The sequence below is a fragment of the Homo sapiens genome, chromosome 18 (genome assembly GCF_000001405.40).
Source record: "Homo sapiens chromosome 18, GRCh38.p14 Primary Assembly".
NCBI classification, from domain to species: Eukaryota; Metazoa; Chordata; class Mammalia; order Primates; family Hominidae; genus Homo; species Homo sapiens.
The window spans coordinates 60661970-60688082 of record NC_000018.10 but is presented as its reverse complement, the minus strand read 5'-3'; the positions used below and the strand labels follow the sequence as shown (position 1 = coordinate 60688082).

Here is a 26113-nt window from a genome sequence, read left to right as displayed (position 1 = left end):
TCCATGGAACTTATGACATGAATTAGAAATACAAACAATCCATCTTACTCTTTCTTGGATTTCCCAAGTGACAGATACCCTTGATATGTCATTTATTATTTTAAAATACGCTCATTGATAAACCAGCCTTTTTCTCTTCCTTTCCATCACTAGCCTCATGCTGTTTCTTCTTTGCCAGTGAGTTCCAAATCATGAGCTCAATTGTTTATTTTCAGAACAGTGTGTTCTATCTCTCCTTAGGATAAGATACAGAGGGGAAGGACTTCGGCTGTCTATTTGCAATACGTGTGCAACCTCTGGAACATCCATCCCTAATCTCCTTGAAGCCCTTCATTCATTATTAATTGAAGATAACGAAATAAAAAATCTCCACCAGAAGCAAAATCTATAAATGCAATAATAGTAACCTATTTTATATGATAGATGACTTTATATTTTTCATATTTAACTGTAAATTGTGAAACAAAACTAAAAAGTGAAGATGAGAAAATAGTAGAAATAAAATAGAAATCTACACTTAAAAGTAAATGTACAAAAAGAGGCTATCAATGAATTCTTCTCTATATGTTCTTTGCATGTCTTTCACTCCTGGGAGATTTGGGCACTCCGGTAAAATTTCTCTTACGTTTATGTTTCACAAGACAATTAATTCTACTCTAATCTCAGTGTAATGATTTCACTCTTCTGTTAAATAAAAGGAAACTCTACTTTTTGATATTTTAAACTACTTATTCTTGGCTATTCTTTTCCTGTTCATTTTTTTCCTAATAAAAATCAGTTATAAAACTCTGGGACAGGGTATCGTAATGGCCAGGGTCATATTTTTCCCAATGATAAGTCTATGTAAATATTTTATCCAATTCCCAATTCTTCACCTAGAATATCGAAACATGAATTTCATTCATTCATTTAACGTATGTCAATTACCCAGTGTATGCCATGGAATGTGCCCAGGCCTTGGGGAACAAAAATGATAAAGAAAACAGTATATTAGGAGTTGATAACCTAGTGGAGAGCTTAGTCATAGAAACATATATTTATGATAAAATATAATAATTTTACTAGAGGTAAATAAGGGTAGACAGTCAGGGAAAAGTGAAGTTTAGATTCAATATAAAAAATAAGAGAGGTGTTAACAAAATGAGAGTTTCAAAACTGTCAGCATAATTTGAAAGCTTAGGTGTGCTGTAAATAAATGTTGAAATACAAAAAATACAAATCTACTCAATTTATCGCCAAATGAATTATTCTACCTGTTAAATGTGGAAAGTTTAATTTAGAGAAAAATAAAGTTTGATTTCATTTTTGTTGAAAACAAAAAAAGAAGGAACATGAATGTTACAGTAACAATGGTAGTAAAGCTTAGCATTTTGCATTTTGTAATATATTTCCTCATGCCTTTAGTTTACTCCTGAACCTGGTCAAGCAATTTATTCTGCTTGGGCTTATCTTGCTGCTTCTGTATCACCTTTCTATTTGTAAGTTGTGATAATGCTTCCCCGGTTTCCCTGGTATCTCCCAGTATAATACTATCTCTAAAATACTCTTTCTAGCCTTCCTTTTCTATTCATATTGGATTCACCAATTAGCCTGTCTGGCTGATATGCCTCGCTCCTTGCCACAGACAAATCCACCAGTGCTATTCCTGAGGGCTGCTGTGGAAACAGCTTCTCTGGTCACCATCACTGAGATCTTGCCCGGCCAAATTCATGGGTGGAAAAAGTGTGAATGCCCCACTTCAGGACCTCTCAAATGGAGAGCTCCCAGAGTAGAACTGTTTGTCAGAGGATTTACTTCTGCATCGGAGTTGGGTCCCTTTCTGATTTTGGAAGTCCTGGGGGTATTGATATAGACTTTGGCTATTGCTTCTGGGGCTTCAAATTTCAAGTTTTAATATATGTTCTCCTCTTTACCTGAACTTCTTATCTCTTCATTTGAATTTTTATGTCCCTTTGCCCTCTGACTTTTTAATCATTTCACTATCAGGATCCACAATATTTGTTTTTTATGATATATTACATAATCAAATCATTTCTGCTAGCTATGCCATGATGGGTATATTTGCCCGCCATTTTTCCAGGCTCTTCTTTAAAGTTTCATGCATCAAATATCATGACTTAAAGGAGTAAATCTTCACTATCTAGTTGAGCCTTTTAATTTTCTTCACAAGAAAGATAAGACACAGAGGAAAATGGTCCACACTCAAGAGGTACAAATCCAACACCTAGGAACAGAAACTACCCAGACGTACCGTTCTCAGTCCCAAAATACTGCTTGACAAAAGTGGCTTTGTAGTCTCTGTCACAATTCCTTCATGAATATTTAGGGATGAATGGAAAGAGACTCAATTTCCAATAAGATAGAAAGCTCTGAGTGACCTTCATTTGTATGAAATATGAACAGTCTTGACACAAAACATAAATAATATCTACACAATATAGGGTTTTTGTTGTTGTTCTTTTGTCTTTTGTTGGTTGGTTGTTTTGTGTGGTCTTGACTCAGTTTTGAGGTCCTGGCTAGAAACGAGTCGGTTCCTTTCTTGAGCAGCCGACCTCCCTTGTCTTCTCATGGCCAGGTTCCAGATGTCAGGGGACAGGCCCTATGCCCCAGCGCACTGAATTATTTAAATTAGCCAGCCTGAAACCTGCCTGTCCTGCCTTGCCCTTGCCTCTGGCAGAAACCATAATAACAGCTCTTGCCCGCAACCCCTTCCTGCCCCTGCCTTGGGGCCAACCCAGCACCTCTCCGGAGTGGCCTGGGGTGGCTGGCTGTGCTCTCCCAGGAAGCTGGGTGTGACACAACTGTAAAATTTGTTTCTCTTTCTGGATCCCTGTGGAGTCTCACCATGCCACACCCAAGGTAATGTGGTTAAAACAACTTAACATGTTGCATTTTTTCAGTAATATTTCGCTTGAGAATGGTAAAAGAAATATCAACATATATGGGAACAAATGCAGTTAAGGCCTAAGTTTACTTAACTCGCCATAGATAAAAGATGTCGATGTTTTAGAACTCTTACAAAAGTGTATTTGACACCCTGTGGACTCATAATGCCATCTAGTGGAACAATTAAATAAATGCAAGGAAGGTCTGTGTGTGTGTTTTATATTAGGAAAATTGTAAAAGGATTGTTAATTGTATTTTGTGAAGTCACAGTAAAGTAACTTATGCTATTGAAGCTATAAAATTTAGTTCTAAGAGTCATGCTATCCAACACTTTTCCACATACAGCTAACAAGGTCTACTAATGATTAGTAAAATGGCCCTCATCTGTCATTTATTCAGGATAAATTTAAGAAAATTGCTTAATTTGTCTGAGCCTCAGATAATTTATATATATAATATCAGTTAATATTCTTACAAGAGAACACTGCAAGGAGTGTACTAATATTCTCATTTTTAAATGAGAAGTCAGATTCTTTTGATAGAAACCAATGAGGTACTTTACAGAAGCTAATTCTCTCCGCTTATCAACCCTTTAAATAATATTTTATTTATTAGAATTTTGGCTAAATGGCACACCAAAATCCATGGTCTCCTGATTACTTTGAAATTTTCACAGAAACAGAAAATGATTTCTATTTCATTTAGTTGTATATATACAAAATGTGTTACATGTACACAAGGTGTGTTACATATACACAAAGTGTGTATATGTGAAACCAAATGAAATGTCTTTGTCTATAAACAAAGACATTGCCAAGTCAGATTTGAATTTCCTTCGGATATACTAGAAAATTTTTAAGACAGTAGGAGGGTACTCTAGAGAAAACATAAAATCTTGTTAAAATAAAAAACGATAAAAGGAAGAGTGGGAAACAATTATTTGTTCTGGCTTAAGCAAGGCATTTGACACTATTTAAGTCAGTCAGTGAAACCCACATGGTGGACTCTACTTCATCCCTCGAGTTGTGTATCTAACTGCTCTCTAGAAGGGCAAACATACTACCCCAGCTAGGTCACCATGTGTCATCCCTTAAACTCTACAGTGACATTTCAGCAAAGGATACCTTTCTTCATAGAATTTTTCTTCAATAACTTCTTAAATTTAGATTTGTTGAGATATAATTCACCACTGTACAATTCACTCTTTAAATGTACGTTTCTATCTGTTTTAGCAATTATATACAACTATGTAACCACAATTACAAATGAGAAATAAAATATTTCCATCATCCCAAAATTTTCCTTGTGCCTCTTGTAGTCAATCCCCTTCCCTCAACTTGCAGGATCTGGTAACCATTTCTACTTTTTTGTGTTTTTATCATTTGGCTTTTCTAAAATGTCACACAAACAGAATTAGACGATATGTAGCCTTTTGTGTCTGGCTTCTTTCACTTATGATAATTCTTAACAGATTTATTCATATTGCTACATGTATCTGTGGTATGCTATTTTTATTGTTGAATAGTATTCCACTGTATGAATATCTCACAATTTATTTGTCCAGTCAAAACTTGACGTTTATTTTCAGTTAGGGACTGTTATAAATGAAACTGCTATAAACTTTTCCATATATGCTTGTTGTGGACATACATTTTTATTTGACTTAGGTAGATATCTAGATGTAGGATTGCTAAATCATATGATATGGTTTGGCTCTGTGTACACACCCAAATCTCATTTCAAATTGTAATCCTCAGGTGTCAAGGGAGGGAGGTGATTGGATCATGGGAGCAGTTTCCCCCATGCTATTATTGTGATAGTGAGTGAGTTCTCGTGAGATCTGATGGTTTTGTTAGGCAGTTTCCCCTGCTCTTGCTTGCTTCTCTCTCCTGCTGCCTTGTGAAGAAGGTGCTTCTTCCCCTTCACCTTCAACCATGATTGTAAGTTTCCTGAGGTCTCCTCAGCTATGTGGAACTGTGAGTCAATTAAACCTCTTTTCTGTACTTATAAACTCAGTCTCCAGGAAGTTCTTTATAGCAGTTTGAAAATTGACTAACATATCATGTTTGATATTTTCAAATGGAAGGGTTGGGTGCGGTGGATCACATCTATAATCCCAACGCTTTGGGAGGCTGAAATTGGAGGATCACTTGAGCTCAGGAGTTTGAGACCAGCCTGGGCAACACAGTGAGAACTTGTCTCCAGTAAAATTAAAAAAAAATTAGCTGGGAATGATGGCATGCACCTGTAGTTACAGCTTCTTTCAGGGGCTGAGGTGGGAGGACCACTTGAGCCTAGGAAGTAGAGGCTGCAGTGAGCCCTGATAGTGGCATTGCACTCCAGCTTGGGCTACAGAGTAAGACTCCATCCCAAAACAAACAAACAAACAAACAAACAAACAGAAACAAACAAACAAAATAGAAAAATCCTGTGCAACTGTTTGCCAAAGTGATTGCTCTACTTTCATTACTACTAGCAATCTCTGAGAGTTCCTGTTGCTTCACATCTTCAGCAGCACTTGATATTGTCAGTTTTTATTTTTAGTTATTCTAGTAAGTGTGTAGCAGTTCTTCATTATGGTTTGATTTGCATTTTTCTAATGACTAATGATAGTGACAGTCTTTTCATATGCATATTTGCTACCTATGTCTGTTCTTTTGGCATGGAGGACACCTCTGTTGTCAAGTACATCAAATTGATTGTATGGTTTTTCGGTCTTTATTCTTGTCGATATTCTATCCATTCTCTCCATTTCTGGTATAAATTACTGAGAGAAAATTGAAGTCTTAACCTCTGGTTGTATGTAGATTTAATTCCTTTTTAAATTTTATTACTTTTATTGAAGGAGAATACACATAGGAAAGTGATATTTTCTTGATGAATTGACTCCTTTATCATTTTCTCACCCTTTCCTTTTTTTTAACTTTCAACTTAAAATTGTCACATCTGTTTATTCCAGCATCATATTCTCTTACTTTCAATTGACTCCTTGAGAACATTGACATTTCATGTAATTATCCATATGGTTGGCTTTAAAATGACCATCTTAAGTAGTATTTTCTATTTGCTTCATGTGTTCTATCTCCTATACATTTTTGCTTCTATTTTCTTAATTGAGGGTTGTGGGCTGTTTTTAAAATTCCACCAATGGCTATTAGTTATATGTCTTTTTTAATTTTTAGTGGTTACTGTAGGATTTACAGCATAAACCTTTTTTGAGTGCCTCTCTTTCAACTCGTTGCTTTTCTTCAGTACTGTGTTGGCTATTATGTGTCTTTTATCTTTTCATATAAACATTATCATCAGGTTTTGATATCCACAAAATAGTTTGCTGGAATTTTTATTGGAATTGCATTGAATCTGTAGATCAAATTAGGGAGAACTAACATCTTAATGTTGACTATTTCTATGCATTAAAGTAGAGTATCTCCTCATTTAATTAGATATTCTTTCTTTCATCACAATTTTTTATTTTTCCTCACATAGATCTTGTATACTTTTGTTACATTTGTACCTAAGTATTACTTTATTGTGCTAATGTAAAGAAGATCGTGTTTTTCATTTCTAATCCCAAGACTTTTTACTGGTATACAGAACCTAAACATTAGCAAAGTCAAACCATTGAGGCCTTGATAACATTGACATTTCGTGTAATTACCTTTTATATAGTAAATTATCTCTTATATAGTAAGATTTTATATAGGCTTTCATATAGTAAGATTGTATGCTGCAAACCTGCTATAATCACTTAGCATCTCCAGGAGTTTGTCTTTTGTTTGCTGTTGTTGCTTTTATCAATTCGTTAGGATTTTCTATATGCACGTTTAGTTTGCAAACAAAGGAAGAAAGGAAGTTGTAAATCAGTATGCCTTTTATTTCCTTTTCTTGTCTTATTGTTCTACCTTGGATTTGCAGTATGATAGTGAACAACAGTAGTGAGAAAAGATCGTTGCCTAGTTCCCCATCTTAGGGAAAAAGCATTCAGTTTTATGATTAAGTATGATGTTAGCTGTATTTTGTTTTGGTTTGTTTTTTTTTAGATATTTTATTTTTTTAAAGCAGTTTTATGTTCACAGCAAAATTGAGTGGAAAATAGTGAGTTCCTATATACTCCCTGTGCTCACACATGCACAGTCTTCCCCACTATCCATATCCTATGCAAGATTGATACATTTGTTACAATTGATAGAACTACATTAACAAGTCAATATCACCCAGTCCATAGTTTACATAGGTTTCACTCTTGGTGTTATATATTCTATGAGTTTTGACAAAACTATAATGACATTTATCTACCATTATAGTATCATACAGTATAGGTTCACTGTCCTAAACATTCCCTGTGCTTGGCCTATTCATCTCTCTCTCCTTCCCCACTGATACCTGGCAACCACTGATCCTTTTATTATATACATAGTTTTGTCTTTTCCAGAATGTCATAGTTGGAATCATGCAGTATGTACTTTTCTCAGATTGTGTTTTTTACTTTAGTTTCCTGCATGTCTTTTTGTGACTTGATAACTTACTTTTTTAGTGCTGAATATTATTCCACTGTCTGGATGTAATACAGTATATTTATCCATTTACCTAGTAAAGGACATTTTGGTTACTTTCAAATGTTGGCAATTATAAATAAAGCTGCTGTAAACATCTGTTTTCAGGTTTTGTTTCAACTCATTTGGGTAAATACCAAAAAGCGTAATTGCGGGGTCATATGGTAAAAATATATTTTCTTTCTGTAAGAAAAAAAAATGCCAAACTGTCTTCTAAATGACTGTATCATTTTGTATCCCCGCCAGCAGTGAATGAGAGGCCTTGTCGTTCCACATCCTTGCCAGGACTTGGTGTTATCAGTGTTTTGGATTTTGGCCCTCCAGTAGGTGATAGTGCAATGGCATGGATAAACCTGGAGGACATTATCTTAAGCAAAATAAGCCAGGCACAGAAAGACACATACTGCATTATCTCATTAATACGTGGAATCTAAAACAGCTGAACTCCTACAAGTACAACCTGTCACAGGCGTGTGAATCAGAGCAACTCCATCTTGAGTAGGGGCTGGGTAAAATAAGTCTGAGACCTACTGGGCTGCATTCCCAAATGGGTAGGCATTCTAAGTAGCAGGATCAACTAGGAGGTCGACACCAGATACAGCTCATAAAGACCTTGCTGGTAAAACAGTTTGTAGTAAAGAAACCAACTAAAACCCACCAAAACCAAGACAGCGATGACAGTGACTGCTGGTCGTCCTCACTGCTACAGTCCCACAAGTGTCATGACAGTTAGCGAATGCCATGGCAATGTCAGGAACTTACCTATATGGTCTAAAACGGGAAGGCATAAATAATTCACCCTTTGTTTAGCGTATAATCAAGAAATAACCATAAAATGGGCAACCAGCAGCCCTCAGGGAGGCTGTGCCAACGGAATAACCATTCTTTATTCCTTTACTTTCTTATTAAATTTGCCTTCACTCTATGGATTTGCCTCAAATTCTTTCTTGTGCGAGGTCCAAGAACCCTCTCCTGGGGTCTGGATCAGTACCCCTTTCCGGTAACAAGAGTAGAATGGTGGTTCTCAGGGGTTGGGGGTGGGATGGAGGTAAGGGGATGTTAGTCAAAGGAGACAAAATTTCAGTTAGATAGGAGTAAATTCAAGAGAGCTATTGTACAACATAATATAGTTCATAACAATGCATTGTATTCTTTGAAAATTGTGGGGAGAAAAAGCAGAGTCTAAGTGTTCACACCACAAAAAACGAAAAACTATGCAAGGTAACGCATACCTTAACTAGCTGTATTGAGCCACTCCGCAATGTATATATATTTTAAAACATCATATTGTACATGATATCTACAATCTTTAATATGTCCATTTAAAATAAATTTTTAAAAAGTTGCCCTAATTGCCTCCCAAAATATCTCTTTTAGTTGGATTCTTTTATTTCCAATTAAAATTTGCACATTGTATTTAATCTTTATGTTTCTTAGTCTAGGATGAACAGTTTATGCATATTTATTTTCTTTCTTGCCATTGAAAGACTATATGTTCCTGGACTATCTTGAGTCCCCGGGATCTCAAAAATTTTTACCTAGGTCTCTTAGCTGGAGTGTTCTATTTGGCCCTAAGTTAATGCCAAGTTACTGAGAAATAACTATTCATATATTTATCAGAGAAGTGACAGGGAATACTTTTTCTTATCTTTTATTTCATTTTATTTTCTCATAGTTACCATATCCTGTTTGGAAATGTTCAGTCCAGAATGTTTGGGAATTTGGAATTTTCTCTGGGTCTTATACTCATTGTCTCTGCTACTTGGTTACCTGGGACTGTCACAGGGATTCCATCCTCAAAACCTTATAAAAACCTTTGCCTGCTTAATTGCCTCAAAGCAATTTTTGGAGGCTGTTTACCTGCTGTGAAGAAGTAATAAAGAGAAGCCTTCTGTTCTTTCCAAACTTCTTTATTTTAACAACATTGACCAAAAAAAAAAAAAAAAAAGAGAGAGAGAGTCTAGGTCAGTTGCCTTACTCAATGTTTGACACTCTTATTAAGTGGTTTGTTTCTTAGAAGTTTGCAAACCCCACAAAGTGGGATGGATGTCCCTGCAGCAGAATGTCTTATTGGGAGGAAGTTGATTAGAATCCACAATGTAGTTAGACATTCTGGTTACTAAATATTGTGTGCTGTGCTGCTGGTCTCTTATATAATAATGATTACTTTCTCCTCTTTCCCTGCCCCAGATTCCGCTAACCAAAGTTTTGTTTTTACCAGACTTTAATTGGAAGTATTTTGAATAGTTGCATTACAGAGTAGAATGATTTTTAAATTTAAGGTAACATATTGCAATTCCTGTAAATTCATTGACCAGTGCCCACCACAGGAATTCAGTTGATAACTTCTTCAGTAGGATGCAGCCTTCTCATAAGTTACTGGTTTTCCTAGCTCCCTAGACCCTTCCTTTTCCCTTCCCTTTATCTTCTGCTCTCCCATCTCTAGAGGCATGAACAGAGCACCACACTACAGCCTCTTTTACTTTATTTCAGAGGAAAATGTACCTTTTATTTCAACCTATCTAAACTAAATTACACATCTGGAAATCCCACCTTTAGTAGTCAAACAAGTATGCTAACTTATTTTCCAAGACAAAGAAGAGGTTGTCTCTTCTATTATTCTTTCAGGCTAATGGCACAAATTGAGTAGCTTTTAATTTATGTTTCTCCCTGGTGTAGTCTCAGATAAAATATGTTGCAGAAATAAATTGGACTTAGAGAAACCAATGCATTCTAAAGATATTTTACAACTTCCAAAGCAAACTGTAATCTCCCAAATAACTAACAAAGCAAATCCTGATGAGCTTGAGAAGGCAGGGCTCATGAGTTCAGGTTCAGAGCCCAGCCTTGATACAATGACCCCCAACTCTGCCAACACCCTGATGCTCACAGAATGTGCTATTTGCTGGACCACTCAGAGGGACTCTGCAGCATGTTGCTGACCTGAAAGCATAGCTTCACCATTTATTTGGACAGTCCTTCCCCAACAACAACATTCTTTACCAAGAAAAGACAGAGGAATGAAGCTTTGGAGATAAGCTGCAAGCGGTGAAGCAACGTCATGTCAGATGGGAAATACATTGCTGTTATGTGATCAGCTTTTGCAGAACTTAAAAAAAAGAAAATCCAAATATTCTGTTAAACAAACTTGCTTTCTACTCTGCTACAGAAGAGTAAGAAAAATAGCATTAGAATTTTTTTAAGCATCAACTGGGCACAGTGGCTCATACCTATAATCCCAGCACTCTGGGAGGACAAGGCGGGTGGATCACTTGGGGCCAGGAGTTTGGCACCAGCCTGGCCAACATAGCAAAAATCTAGCTCTACTAAAAATACAAAAATTAGCTGGGAATTGTGGTGCGCACCTGTAATCTTAGCTACTCGGGAGGCTGAGGCATGAGAATGGCTTGAACTTGGGAGGTAGAGGTTGCAGTGAGCTGAGATTGCTCCACTGCACTCTAGCCTGTGTGACAAAGCAAGACTCTGTCAAAAAAAAAAAAAAAAAAAAAGAGGAACTTTTTCTAGGCATCAGAAGCTGGTGTGGGCTCTTCAGTTAAATATACTGCAGTAGGTGCCGTTGATGCTCCACCTAAGCCCCCTCCTAATCTTCTCTTCGGCATACCCTAGCCTGACTCCTTGTGGCCAGCACTTACATTTCTTTGCCTGAGGGTTTTATCTGCTGTCAGAGCCTGGTTCCTTGCGTGCACAGCAGACCAGAGGTGCTGAAGAATTAACATCCTCCAGAGAAGCCTTCAACTAATGACTGCTGACTTTCCTAGAATCCCAGAGGGTTTAAGCGCTGTTCACCCACAGGTCCAGCTGGCTTGTCAAGACACCCTTTACCCGCCACCTGCCCTTTCTTGTCTTACTCCTCCCACCTCCTTACAGGTGTTCCTTTCACCTTCCATATAAACTCAAATACTGTTCTCAGGGTTTGTTTCTGGGAGTCTTACATATGTTATATGCTCTCTAGTACTGTCTGAATGGCTTTAAATAGATTTACACCTGTATAGTACAAACATGAGTCTTCTCAGATATTGTAAACCATTATTCAAAGCAGTTAATAAAATAAAAATTAGATATTCTTATTATATCTTTAGAAACCCTAAATAAATTCTCTCATAAGTAATTGATATACTTTTTTTATTTCATTTTCCTGGAAGGAAAAGCAACACGAACCAAATTGTTCTTGCTATGACAATATTAAAATATGATTAAAAGTGTCATATTTTATACTCGTCCTAGGGTAAACAACCAAAACCCAATTTATGTCTTCTGTATTATTTAATATTACTGTGGAAGAACATAGGGGATGACACTGTTGAACAGTGTAATTTGAGTGTGGAAAACAGGGTATTAAATAGCATCATATAAAGCAGGAAGCTAGCAAACCAGTCGGAAATATTAGAAAACTCATTAGTTAACCATATTAAGGCACGAATTATATTTTCTCTTTTACATTTAAAAATCAATAATACTGGTTACCTGTTAATTGGTAGCCTTGGGTATAGGAGAAGAAATGTTCATACAACTTTGGGACAACTCTAATAAACTTTACCCAGGTGATATGGTCTGACCTTAGTCTAGAAAACAAGTTGGCAAACTCTGGCCCTTGGGCCAAATCCAGCTTACTACCTGTTTGGTAAATACAGTTTTATTGGAACACAGCCATATCCATTTGTTTACATATGTTCTATGACTGTTCTCATATTACAACAGCACGCTGGAATATTTGAGACAGAGAACTTGTGGGCCTCAAAGCCTAAAATATTTACTAATTGCCCTTTACACAAAGCAGTTTGCTGATCGTTGGTTTAGAACACTAGAGTATAAAGTATTTCTAAACATAAGCATCAAAAAACTCATGAATACATTGCATAACTATACATCCTGTGGCATGTTATTTTAAAATTTTTATTTAGAAAATGTAATTTTTATTTATAAAATTTTAATAGATAATTTGCAAAAATAGTATGGAGAGTTCTCCTGTATATATCATCATGCTTCCCCTAATGCTAACATCTTACATAACTATAGTGTAATTATTGAAATTATGTAATTAGTATTGATATAAAATAATCTATATACCTTATTTGTATTTTACCACTTTCCTCATAATGTCCATTTTTTGTACTTTTTCAATGCAGGATCATTGCACGTGGGTATCTTCTTGCTCTCCTCCAATACTGGACAGGCATTCAGTCTTCTGTTGTTTTTCATGTCCTTGGTTTGTTTGGAGAATACTACTCGGTTATTAAGTGCTTCCCAATTTGGGTTTGCCTGATGTTTTCTCATGATAAGATTGAGGTTATAAACATTTGGCAGGAATACCACAGCAACGAGAATATACCTTTCCAGTGAATCATATTATATTGTTGATATGTCCTATTGCTGCAATATTAACTTTGATCCCATCACTAAGGTGGCATCTGCCAGGTTTCTTCACAGCAAAGTAACACATGAGAAATACTTTGAGACCACGAAATATCCTGTTTTTCATCATACTTTTGTCCACTAATTTTAGTATCCATTGTTGTTACCTGCAACAACTATTATTTTGGTGTTTGTTTAATGATGACTTTATAGTTCCCTCATTTTTTCTAATGTAAGTAAAGTCCTTTTTCCCCATTTAATTATTCACTTATATCAGAAGGGACTCATGGGGGTTTATCTTATTTTACAGGTTATAATCTAATACTACCAATGTTTATTTTGTTACCCAGACTGTCTCAGCTTTGGCCATTGGGAAGTCCTTCCAGTGGATTATTGGATCCTGTGCCCTTTTGACATGCTTTCTTCCCTTATTAATTTTTTGTTTGTTTTGGGTCTTACTTCCGGGTTTTCTGTCATCACAAGTTGTTCCAGGCTTGTATTGTACATTTCCTCTTCAAGCCCTAAAACCAGCCATTTCTCTAAGCATTCATCGTTCCTTTTATTGGAGACTGGTATTTAAAATCAAGCTTTGAGTACTAGGTATACCTTGTGCTATTAAGCTATCATTGTTTCTAGGAAGACAGAGCTAGGAAATATATTTGTGAGCACTTTTAAGTGAAATATTCAAAAAACTTGTACCATTCATGTAGAAAAGGCAATAATATGAGATATAAAAGCAAGTCATAGTCTCCTGTGCATGCAGGTCCACGGAGGCTGCAATGTCAAAATGCTATTACTACAGATTATTTTCAGATGCTCTGCTACAGATATCAGAGAAATTTAAGCAAAGTGATGTGCAAGGAACATATGTTAGTATGAAGTAAACTGAATCCCCTTTTTTATTTTTATTTTTTATTTTACTTTAAGTTCTCGGATACGCGTGCAGAATGTGCAGGTTTATCACATAGGTTTACATGTGCCATGGTGGTTTGCTGCACCTATCAACCCATCATCTAGGTTTTAAGCCCCACTTGCATTAGGTATTTGTCCTAATGCTCTCCCTCCGCTTGCCTCTTACCCCATGGTAGGCCTCAGTGTGTGATGTTCCCCTCCCTGTGTCCATGTGTTCCAACTGTTTAATTCCCACTCCTTTTCGAAGCAGGTGTTCAGCTCTACACCAGTGAATTTCATAAAATTTCCTCTACTCATCACAGGAATTTCAAGGACTGTCAGAGATGATATTCTTTTAATTTATTTAGATGTAGGAAAATGCTTTTTGAAAAGTTAAATTTGCCTCCTTCATGGGAAAAATAAATGTGGAAAAATTTGAGAATTTGTAGAAGTTAAGTTCAGATCTATTTAACAGACACAAAAGATTGCAAAAAAAAATTACCTGTAATTAAGGTAGAGGTTGCCATTTTCTCAGGGCAAAATATGGAAAACAGATTGTACCTCATTTAAAGCTTTGTCCAGTATATATGCAGATAATTAATGAAAGTGTACGTATTGACCTGGAGAATGCCAGAGAAGAAAATGTGTTTCAGATGCAAGAACTATATATAAGGTTCAGATAATTAACAAATCTGAAGAAGAAAACCAAATTTGCTCCTCACTCTGATAAATGAAAAATGAACTAATGAATGGAAGCTAACCAAAGAATGAAAGAAATATCTACTGTTCAAACACACTAGTAATAGTAAGAATGGGTAGAGTCCATGATAGCCACAGTCTCCTGATGCCAACTGGAAGGATCTCTAGAAAGGCTTTGAGAAGGGTTGGATGATAGGATGTTTATGCATGGCTCTCTCTGTAAGGGCTTTAATGAACAAAAAGGTGAGCACCACAGACCAAAGAGACTCTGAGAGAGTTGGTGGAATGGGAGTAGAGATCACTGATTATAAGAATGTTGGATAATTTGTGGGTCAAACTAAGTCCTAAATTTAGTTGAAACTGAGGTAATCATACAAACTTTTTAAGCTTATGTGTCAAATGACAGAAAATTATACATATACCACATACGTTAATGTTGCATTTGGAGTGTTTGAGTTTTCATGGTTTTTAGATATGCCAATAGTCAGCAGTCAGCTTACCATCATTCTGAATAAATGCCAACAGGCAGAGTGGCTGGAAACAATGCCCAACTTTGGAGTAAATTTAATCTTGACACAATTGAGTGGGAGAGTGCTAAACTATTTTTTAATTATCATTTCAACCTAAATATCAATCAGAATTTTGAATACAACCTAGCCGTTATTTTCATGGCTTATCTTCAAGCTATTATTAGAAACCTACAAGCATTTAAACCTACATCACATTTCTTATTTTTTTATTTTTTATGTTAATCTAAATAATAAACTTACTTTCATATATAATGTACATATTTCATATGTTAATACATAAGGTAAAGTGGTTTTGTGGAAGTTGATTAAACCTAGATTTGCAATGTATATGAAGTAGCAGAATTTTCTCCTTTTATTTAGAGAGTAACCTACCACCTGCTCTTAAAACATCAACTGCCTTACACAATATCAACACATTGTTTTTTTAAATTTTTTCTCTAATACAATATTTTATTTCAATAAAATGCACTTTTGAAATTTTAATATGTTTTACAGCACTTGAGACATTAAATGAACACAGCTTTTAATAGCTGGTTATATGGAATTGACTATTGGAAATTTAAAGAATAGCCTATATCAAGTTGTAGTTAATATTTTTATTCTCACAAACATTCTTTTACTATTTGTACAAAATGACTGGTAGAACTGTCATTTTCATCCAAACAGAATCAATTGTCCTCTTTATGTAGTAATTGTCCACTAGCTTGTTCAACACAGTTCTCAAAGTCAATTTGTCAGTTTTGTGACCCTGAGAATAGAACTCAGTATGGATGAAAAGAGAATATTTTGGTTTTATTTATTTAAATAGATGGTTACATCATTGTAACTGATTTAAGGAAATATCATGTTCTTAAATTCATATTGTTTTCAAGTATGATTTCATGAACTGCTTAGGTATTTATTGGAAGATATTAAAATCTTAAAGTTTTATATTTAAGATAGGTATATATTTTCTATGGATTAGCGGTTTTATATCTAGAGTCTTTATACTTAAGCATTCTGTAACAAAACATTAATAATTATTTTTTAAAGATTTTAAACAGAAAACTTTCTTAAGAACAATTTAGCCACATTTTATTCATGATGATTAGGTAACAAACAAATGAGTCTACAAAAAGTGGTCATAGAAAGATGTATCTAAGTTAAGGTACATACATATGTTTATATTTAAATGTATATCTGGATATATATGCATATATATTTATATACACTGTGTATTTATGCATGTATATACATACACACATATGTATGTGTGTGTGTGTGTGTGTATATATATATATTTGTATTTGTAAAAAATCACAAGAGTATTGTCTTTACTTACAATTAGAAAAACGAATATAATAAATTCATCCAGATTCATTTTATGGCGTAAGTGTGACATGGTTAAGGTGGTCAAATCATTTTAGAATACTATTCAGTTCAAAGTAAAATAGTAACACAATAGCTTCTGCTGTACACAGGGTTTAGTGAATAAATTAATATATAACCATTAAAACTTCGATTTCAAAGTAAAAATTTAAGAGCAATTTCACATATGACAGACTCACTGCACACTTTTGCTTTCTTCCAGTTGTTTTTAACAAATACTTTATAAGAAAATAACTAATTTTGGCTTTATTACACATGAAAGAATGCTGTATTATAAGGTAGTTATTATAAAATCTTGTGTATAACAAATGATTTCTACAACTAGACTCACAGTGTACAATAACACTGCTTCACAGCATGGAGTCAATGAAATGTCCGTAGCTTTTAGCAAAGATACATTTTAAAGCCACATACATCTAGCAATTATTAAGAAGAAAATATAATTTTTGCTCAAGTTGATCAGTGGTTCTGGGGAGTTCAAGTATACTGTTGAGAAGCTACTAAAGTTATGACTTTTTTTCAGTTTTTAAAAACACAATGTACTTTAAAGAATTGCTTAGTAAGCAAACTTCCTTAGCATGCATAATCAACTAACTTAATTTTAGTCATTTTTAATTTTCACAAACCACTGTTTCATGAGTTGTGTAATTATCTAAACAATGTTTTGAAAGCATTTGAAACATCTAAAAGACAAAGGAATCCTTTAATATGTGAAATAACAACACAAACTGTGAATTTTATTACCACTAAAAAAATTCCTACCTTGCCTTTTTTAGGCTTTAGTTTAGCTAACAATCACCATACTCCTTAAACGCTTCATGTTTCCGATACAACTGGCAGGGGCCAGCATTGTGGGCAGTAAAAGTATTTACCAAGACTGTTGTGTGTAAAGAAAGGCAGGTTTATTAGAGAAAGTACCAAAATATGTTGTGAGAGTGCAATGGGCAGCACAGTAGAGAAGGGGCTGTCCGCAAGGAGACAGGGGCTGGAGGGAAGTTTTATAGGGTCATGCTGGAAGGGTTACATGCAGATCAGTTGCTGCTGCTGAGGCTGTATGTGGAGTGAGATATTTGGGAACAGGATGTTGTGCCAGCAAGTTGTTTGTGTTAGCCATCTCTCAGAACAATTGTTCCCCACCTGGTTCCACTTCCTTTTTGTTGCTTACTTGTTTTACCAGGACTCTACACTTTCTACGATTCTTTATTTATTTTTTATTTTTTTTGAGATGGGGTCTCACTCTGTCGCCAGGCTGGAGTGCAGTGGTGCGATCTTGGCTCACTGCAACCTCCACCTCCCGGGTTCAAGTGATTCTCCTGATTCAACCACCAGAGTAGCTGGGACCATAGGCATGCACCATCACGCCCAGCTAATTTTTGTATTTTTAGTAGAGACGGGGTTTCACCATGTTGGTCAGGATGGTCTTGATCTCTTGACCTCGTGATGCACCCACCTTGGCCTCTCAAAGTGCTGGGGTTACAGGCAAGACAGATTCACTGAGATATAATTCACATATCATATTGTAAAATTCCTAGGAAGAAGCCCAACCTCAGCAAAACAAAAACCAGTTGGATTCAGAGATGCCTAAGTAGGAGATAAACTTTTGATGAATCCTCCTCATTACCATATTAAAAACCCAGCCCAAGGAGGAGCTTATTTACCATTTCTATCCACAGGACATAAGTAGAAGCATAATCACTGCACCTGCACTGTCTTTACTGACTTCTACATGCAATGATTCAGCTATTAGCCCAGTAAAAGCCCAGCTTCCACCTTTGTTTGGAGAGGTACTGCTTTGGGGAATTATTTCCATGTCCTCCTTACTTATTGCAAGTAATAAATTCTTGTTAAATCTTCATTGGATGTGGTAATTGGGTGGATGAACCCACCCATTGTGTGAATTATAGTACAATTTACCATTTGAAGTGTACAATTTAGTAGCTTTTAGCATATTAACTGATTTGATCAATCATTATAGTCACAGAAATGTTTTGCAGGAACAAGGAATTCATAGATTATCACACACACAAATACTTCACATTCAAAAACTCAGAGCCTATCTTGAATGCCTGCATATTAAGTATGCTGAATACCACACTTTTTTTGCAAAGGATAACTTAAAGATTTTTAAATAAATCCAGTTTGGTATGCTGGAGCCAAAGTTGCACAAACAGGTAAAGAAAGACTATTCAAGGCTATGGCAATACAAGAGAAAGTCCAAACTCAGTTTGAGCTCACTTCTGCTGAAACAAAGGGCTGGAGACTCTTTAAGAGGTGGAGTAGGAAGATTATAGGGCATCTATGTTTGCTAATTGGCGTTACTCAAATGAAAAATAAACATTTCCATACCTTCATGGCAGAAGGTAGTTTTACAACTTGGTGTCCACTGAAGTTAGGCTTCTCTCCTCTGACAGAAACTGGGAGATGAAGGAGCTATCTTCCCTTATGATTACATTTCAAAGGAATGGTCCCAAGTTCTTGAGAAAGTCCTGCAATATAAAACTGGCAAGAAAATTTTTAAAAGATTTATATCTCAAAGGGGCAGAAAAAGAACTCACATGTTTCATAAATTAAATGTAAGCAAAAGAAAGTCAGGCTAGAGACAGGAATATGCCTCTCTAAGGTTTAGTCAGTCTTGGGGGCACACCTGCAGGTCACCACCTTATTCAGAAATCTGGTGTAATAGGGTACTCTCCCCTTCAAGATGGAACTAAATAAATCACTGCTTAGCATTTTTTTTTTCTGTGAATAGTCCTCTGGGTTTGAATTCTCAGGGCCCGGTACGACAGGTCAGAGCAACTGATGACTTGCAGGTCAGTTGTTAATCTGGCAGATCAGATTCTTCTTTTCACTTCCAACTATCCAACCCCACCCACCACCCCACAAACAGAATTATAGGTAGAGTCACTACATTTAGAAAATTGACATGTTTGACTGAACTCTGACTTTGCTAATTGAAGTTTTGGCATCAACTACAAAATTCATGTATCACTGCCTTGCCTTTTGCTGACATCTACTGGCACTTTCATGAAAATATACTGAATTTGGGCTATTTAAAAAAAATCACACTGGAAAAAGACAGTCAGATGTCCACCTCTAGCCTGACAGAGTGACAGGTACTGTTCTTGCCCTCCCGTCACGAGGGACTATAAAACCGGACAACATACGAGGCAATGGTTTTCTTGCATTGAACAAAAGGCAGTGCAAAACCATGCTCTTTAAGAGAAAACGGTGTATGAACCGCATTGATCACCCTTTCTGCCTGGGCACTTTCGGGGCACGTTGCCAGGAGGTGCAGCTCAAGTCAGTGGGGTCTTGCTGAACTGAGATGACACAGTTGAAGTACTGACTGCTGAAGCAGCTGGGATTTGGGAAACCGGTATATCAGAGAAGAGGCAGTTGCACAGAGGGAGACTGGGGAAGTCTTAGTGTGGATTCTCAGCAGGTCTCCTGGGCTGGGTTGTGGGTGTGCTGGAAGAGATCCTGTGAGGCTTAACAGTAAGCTATTGCTGTGAGGCTCCCAGGGACCGTGACTCCCTGCCCAGGAAGAGTGAAGCAGCCCGGTTGAGCACCTTGGACATTCTATTTAGACTCCACAAAGGACAGGTTTTAAAGCTAAGGATCAAGCTCCAAAATAAGGATGTAGGCCTAAGGATTAAGTTAGAAACTGAAATTGATTACCATAGTAAAGAATAAAACCAAACCTGACAAGCTCAAATGTAACCCCAGTAACTGAGTGCCTGCCAGAAAAAAACTCAGCACCCTTAAATGGAGACGACATGATCCATTCTCCTTATACTCCAAGGCCTTGAGGAATTCAAGTTAATTTATAAGGATTGAGGTTTAGAATGAAAAAAATATTTGAACCAGGGCTGATTTTACCCTCAATTAAAGTAATAGAATCTGTAAAGGATTGAGAGCCCATGATCTGCTCACCCAGTTGTCCAATCCCTGGTGGAAAATCCTGGGTCTTAAGTAACAATTTGAGTGAAGTGGAAAGTGAGTGGTATGCAAAGCACTTTAATTCTGCAAGGTATGGTACAGCTCAAGGTACAGTAATCCATGGGGGAATAAGGATGGTGCTATGAAAGGCCCAATGATGAAAGGAGCTTATGGAAATGTTGTATATGAGGAGATTAAAGAATGGGTTGACTTCCAAATTGGGTTGCATTACAGATAACTGGAGTGATTACCCTGAAGTCTCAGCAGCTTTACTAAAATGCCATACTGGAATGGATATAAATGAGTGAATGGTCATGTTGTCTTTATTCTTTACATCAGGGATATTGTCTAAGCCTGTTCTTTTCCTAGTTTTAATTGATCATGCTAAGTAACAACTTATCTGGAGGGTAGCAAGAGATCACTCCTCTGGTTAAGAGAATGGTTATAGTAGGAGTATTATTTCCTACTAAATTCCCCTTTAATAGTCCTATTTGGTCATTATGCAAAGCAGACATTCTGGAAGTTAAGAGTAGAGGATTAAACAAGATGGTATCTTCATTTGCTTCAGCTGTATCGTATATAGAAAAGACTGTACAGGAAGGGTGAGAGAATCAACCAGGGACTGGCATGTCTCTACAGGCCTAGCTAATGCTTTCCTTTCCATACAGAATTGCAGTCTAGCCAGGCTCTGTTTGCAATGTTTTGAATGGAACCCAGTATACATTTGCTGTTTTCCCAAAGGGATATGTGAAGATATGGGCATGTTGTCATAATTAGATGAGGATAAACTTGGAAATGATAACCATTAAGGACCAGTTAGTGCATTACATTGAAGATGGCATGATAATTGCCTTCTTCTTGGAGGAATAAGCAAGGGGAGTTAAGAACTGTAGTTACTTATTCGACAAATAAAGGCTGACTGATAAATACAGCTAAAAGTCAAGGCCCATTGAAATTCCTGGAAATTACATAGGTTGGAACAAACAGGAACATTGTCATTTGTGGTTTAGGGCATGGACTATGGCTTTAAACTACAGATCTATTCTGACAGCTGTATTTTATAAATGATAAAAGTAATATTTAGACAGTGAAGTTTACAGAGATACTTGAAGGCCAAGGAGAGTCTAAAATTCAAGTTCTGTTACTACTAGTGTAGTAAATGAGTTTTCAATTTGTTTGTATTGTGAAATATTTCAATATCATGAAGAAAATATTTAACAAATATCCATTCACCCATCATGCAGATAAATAATCCTTAATTTTTTCATATTTACTTAAGATTACTTAAATATAACATTCCATATGCTCTTAAAAATATCCTTTGAAATATTTACTCATTACTCACCCTCCTTCTCAAGAAGGAAATTGTTAATCCTAAAACTAATGTGTATCTTGCCTGTCCACATTTTTACTTTTTTATTACGTATATGTGAATTCTCACTTTCAGTTCTAGTCATCTAGAGATTTATTGATCTACTATTGTGCCAATATCCCAGTATCTGGATTACTTGAGTTTTATGGTAAATTTTATTATTCTATAGGGCAAGTTATTCTTCTTTATACTTCAAAATGACTTGACTATTTCTGGTAGCTCCTTTGTAAGAAGTTTGAAATCAAATTGTAAAGTTTCAAAAAGTAAACTAAAAACACCTGTTGATAATTTGATTGAAATTGCTTTGAATTTCTAGGTTGATTAAAGGAACACTCTATTGTAGATATTGAGTCTTGTTTTAGTTGAGCATAATCTGCTAACTATGATTTGAATTATATGCCTCAATGTCCACACAGGAGTGTGGTATTAAATATAATTTTATATTACTGTTTTTATTTTTATTTTATTTTATTTTTTTGATGTAGTCTCACTCTGTCACCAAGGCTGCAGTGCAGTGGTGCCATCTCGGCTTACTGCAACCTCCATCTCTGGGGTTCAAGCAATTCTCCCGTCTCAGCCTCCCAAGTAGCTGGGACTACGGGCACCTGCCACCACGCCTTGCTAACTTTTGTATTTTTTTTTTTCAGTAGAAATGGGGTTTCACCACGTTGGTCAGGCTGGTCTCAAACTCCTGACCTCGGGTGATCCACCCACCTTGGCCTCCCAAAGTGCTGGAATTAAAGGCGTGAGCCACCGTGCCTGGCCTTATTCTGGGTTTATTGAAACAGAATAGATACGTAAAATGGATTGTAAGATTTCTTTTTTTACATGCTGTTTTAAAGTATAGTTTCTATCAAGTTGGGATTATCTCTTCCTTCAGGGTGTGTAAAACCCATCTGTAAAACCACCAGGACCTGATATATGTTCCTCTTGGCAGGGCAATAAAGTTACTTAATCAACTTCTGTTATTTTTTATTGAAAACTACACTGAATGCTAAATGTCCACCTTTAAAATAAACAAGTATAGTAATGGTAACTCACACTAAAACAAAACATACTTCTGATAGCCATTATTTTTCTGTTTGGAACAATTTTAAAGTTTTTCTTTTGTCACTAAAATAGGAATGTACCTATACAGAGGCTCAAAATAGGCCATCTTTTTAAATAAAAAGACAATGATTCACAAAGGACTATGAATCGAGCATGTAACTAGTTGATACAAATCTAATAGGATTTGTTAAAATCAATCACATCTAATATCTCTGAAGTGTTCTTCTGTAAAATACCACGTGAAGAAAAGAAGGTTTTATTAATGTTTAAAAAAAGTGGGTTTGTTTATAGACAATCTGACAAGTTTCCATAAAAAGTGTTTCCTGAGGCATAAGGAAATGCAACATTATTCTTCTTGAACCCTTTTAGCTCAAGACTTTCCACTCAGTAAAATAGCAGAAGATCTGAAACTGAGAAAGTATATCTGAGTGCAAACAGCTTGTGAAACTTAATACTTTTTTTCGCATCATCAGAAGGTTTTACTGAACTTAAACCAACTTGCCTGCTCAGTATGCAGTTCAGGTGTGAGAGACTTCTCTGTACGGAAGCCTGTACTGTCTTCAATCCTATGCGTGCAAGTGTCTACCACAGGCAAACAGTTTTCTCCCCATTTTGTAGTCATGTGATCTTCCTCTTAGCAAAAAGCGGTAACCAGCCCCTGTAGACCAATGGAGATTTCCTCTTAGTATTTTGTATTTTGATGTTTGAACTCTTGATGCAACATTCTAGAGCAGGGTGTTCAGGACCTGCTGTGGCCAAAGGACTGATGAAGGAAAAAGCGCCATTCATTCTTGGTGATTAAGGTGAAAAACTTAACACATAATGACAGAAGTAGGTCGTCAATAAATCACATCCTAGTCTTTCAGCGCTTCTGTAAGCAGACGACATCCAATTTTCTACCTCTTGTAGTTTTAACACTGCAACATCAATAATGCATATGTCCAGAATCAGCTAAAAAGACCGTCAGATTCGTTTTCTCTGAGTTCATCAATTTTTCACTGTCTCTTGGCCGCAAGTGTATCTGAATGATTACCTTCCGGCATTCTCTGCTTTGTTCGTTGGGGTGCTCTGGATTGTCCCCGTGTTTTGTGGGCTGGTTGGGAGAGGGAGCTTGGGAGGGATGTGCCACTGTGGGGAGGTTGTGAGTCACTGGGATGCCTCCAGGGATGATCCCTTCTGTGGCTGCGGGAAGTCCTCCTGGAGCCACGCACACGAAGCCTGGCAGATATCTGTATGTGGCACCATTAAGCTCGGGATGAATTGCTTGCTGGTCTATTACTGACCAAGGAGCTGATGTGACAAAGAATTCCTTGTTCACACAGTTTCTTAAGCTTTCTGGGATGCAACCTGTGATGGTTCGTCGGATCTCGGTGGCAGCCGCCTCCCTCATCTCCAGGGACACCTGGATGGGGGGCAGCGTGAGGAGTGCAGATGAGATTCCGGGCATCCTTCAAGGAACCCTGAGCAAAGCTAAAGAGCTCTGACTGGGGCACGTCGAGAGCTGCCCTCTTATCTTGCCATTATTGAGGGCCTGTGCTAAGGCTTTCTCGTCCACCAGGGCACCACGGGCTGCGTTCACAAGGAATGCTCCCTGACTCATCTAGTTTATAGTCATAGTCATTGATGTGGTGGTGGTTATGTTTGTTGAGCTTGCAGTGCAAAGAGATGCAGTCACTTTGACACAGCAAATCCTGCAGGGTGTAGACCCTCTGCACGCCCAGGGACCGCTCTATCCCATCCTGCAAGTAAGGATCATAAAATATGACGCTGAATCCAAAGGCCTCGGCTCGAACTGGAACCGCTTGCCCCGTGCTACCAAAGCCGATGAGGCCCCTGCGTCTCCCCACCGATGTGAGCCCCTCCCAAGGCCACCTCTCGGATCTGCCCCATGCTGTAACACACGTGCCTTCTGGCCATGCCTGGCACAGCCACGTGTTCCTCCGGTACAGACTGAGGATGTGGCAGATGGTTGAGTTGGCTGTCTCTTCCACAGCTGCGGACGGGATGTTGCACACAGCAATCTCAAGCTCGCAGGCAGCCTTGATGTTCACATTGTCGTAGCCACTGCCTATGCGCACGATCACTCCCAGGGCCTTGAACTTCTCCAGGTCCGCCCTGGCGAGGGTGATGGTGTGATACCTCATGGCGCCCAGGGCTTCATGTAAAATCTTCTCGTGGATCTCCTGCGTGGAGTGCGTATCACAGAAGGCCATGGTGGCCAGGTCCTTTGGGATGGGCATCTCCACGGTGCAGTTGCGCAGTCCAGCAGTGCCACCCGGGGGGGTGGTGGAGTGCAGGGGGCCGTTCATGACCTGGGGGAGGATACTTTCACAAATTCGGTGCACTCGCTGTCTCTTAACTTCTGCTTATCCACACGGGCCATTCTTTATGGAACTTTGCAACTCTCAGATCAAAAGGCAAAGTAGTCCTCTAAGAACCTGGGGAACTCTCAGGAGTCTGCACGCATGACGCCACTATGAACCCAATATAAATCTGTCCACAAACTCTATAGTTTATACGATGGGCTGTCCGTCTTTTTAAGCAAATATGGCTTCATTCATTCAAAACCGTTTAAGATGATGAAACCCGTTTGCTTGCAACTCGGCCACCATCGCTCATTCAATTAACTAACCTCACCACCACCCCAGGTCTGGAGCGCCCGGAGTCCGCGACTGCTGGGGGTGGAGGCAGCTCTGGCCCGGTGCTGCCAGGTCCCTGCCCCTGCTCCGAGCCACTGGCGCGGGCTGGGTCCCACCCCGGTGTCCCGTGTGGTCTCGCAGCTCCTCCCCTGCTGGGGCCCCGCTGACCAGAGGGGCACCGGAGACCTCGCTGGCATGAGGGGCCGTCTGGCTGGACCCCCGCCACCTTGGGTCCGAGCTGGCTGGTCCAGCACCACGTTTTTTACTTTCTTCTAATTTTCTTTTCTTCTTGAGAAAATTATGGTAAGATACTTTTAAAAATTACTGGCATCCGTTTTTTTCTTTGAATTTTATTATAATATAAAAAATCATAGCCGGGCGCAGTGACTCATGCCTGTAATCCCAGCACTTTGGGACGCTGAGGCGGGCGGATCATCTGAGGTCGGGAATTCGAGACCAGCCCGACCAACATGGAGAAACCCTGTCTCTACTAAAAAATACAAAATTAGCCCGGCGAGGTGGCACATGTCTGTAATCCCAGTTACTCAGGAGGCTGAGGCAGGAGAATCGCTTGAACCTGGGAGGCAGAGTTTGCGGTGAGCCGAGATGGCACCATTGCACTCCAGCCTGGGCAAAAAGAGAGAAACTTCGTCTCAAAAAAATAAAATAAAATAAAATTTAAAAATAAAATAAAATAACTTTAAATATCTTTAGAATCTGTATTTGAGGCACCTTTTCATTGCAGGGGCTAACTTGTACTTCTATGGTTTTATGGATCATTTTCCTAGAGGTTTGTTTTAGTTATTCAGATTA

At 37.7% G+C, this 26113-nt stretch overlaps 2 pseudogenes, besides 2 other annotated features; one reads left to right on the top strand and one right to left on the bottom strand.

Moving 5' to 3' along the window:
• Positions 2178 to 2677: an enhancer, noted in NCBI's record as "H3K4me1 hESC enhancer chr18:58352639-58353138 (GRCh37/hg19 assembly coordinates)". NCBI's record gives its function as "activates a minimal SCP1, AML or CMV promoter by ChIP-STARR-seq in naive H9 embryonic stem cells {active_cell/tissue: H9 hESC(naive)}" and the evidence as "EXISTENCE:reporter gene assay evidence [ECO:0000049][PMID:30033119]".
• Positions 2678 to 3179: an enhancer, noted in NCBI's record as "H3K4me1 hESC enhancer chr18:58352137-58352638 (GRCh37/hg19 assembly coordinates)". NCBI's record gives its function as "activates a minimal SCP1, AML or CMV promoter by ChIP-STARR-seq in naive H9 embryonic stem cells {active_cell/tissue: H9 hESC(naive)}" and the evidence as "EXISTENCE:reporter gene assay evidence [ECO:0000049][PMID:30033119]".
• LOC100420948 (ARF like GTPase 14 effector protein pseudogene) lies at positions 13974 to 14570 on the top strand (annotated as a pseudogene).
• Positions 23514 to 25244, bottom strand: CTBP2P3 (CTBP2 pseudogene 3; annotated as a pseudogene).
• Between the last annotated feature and the right edge of the window lie 869 nt (positions 25245 to 26113).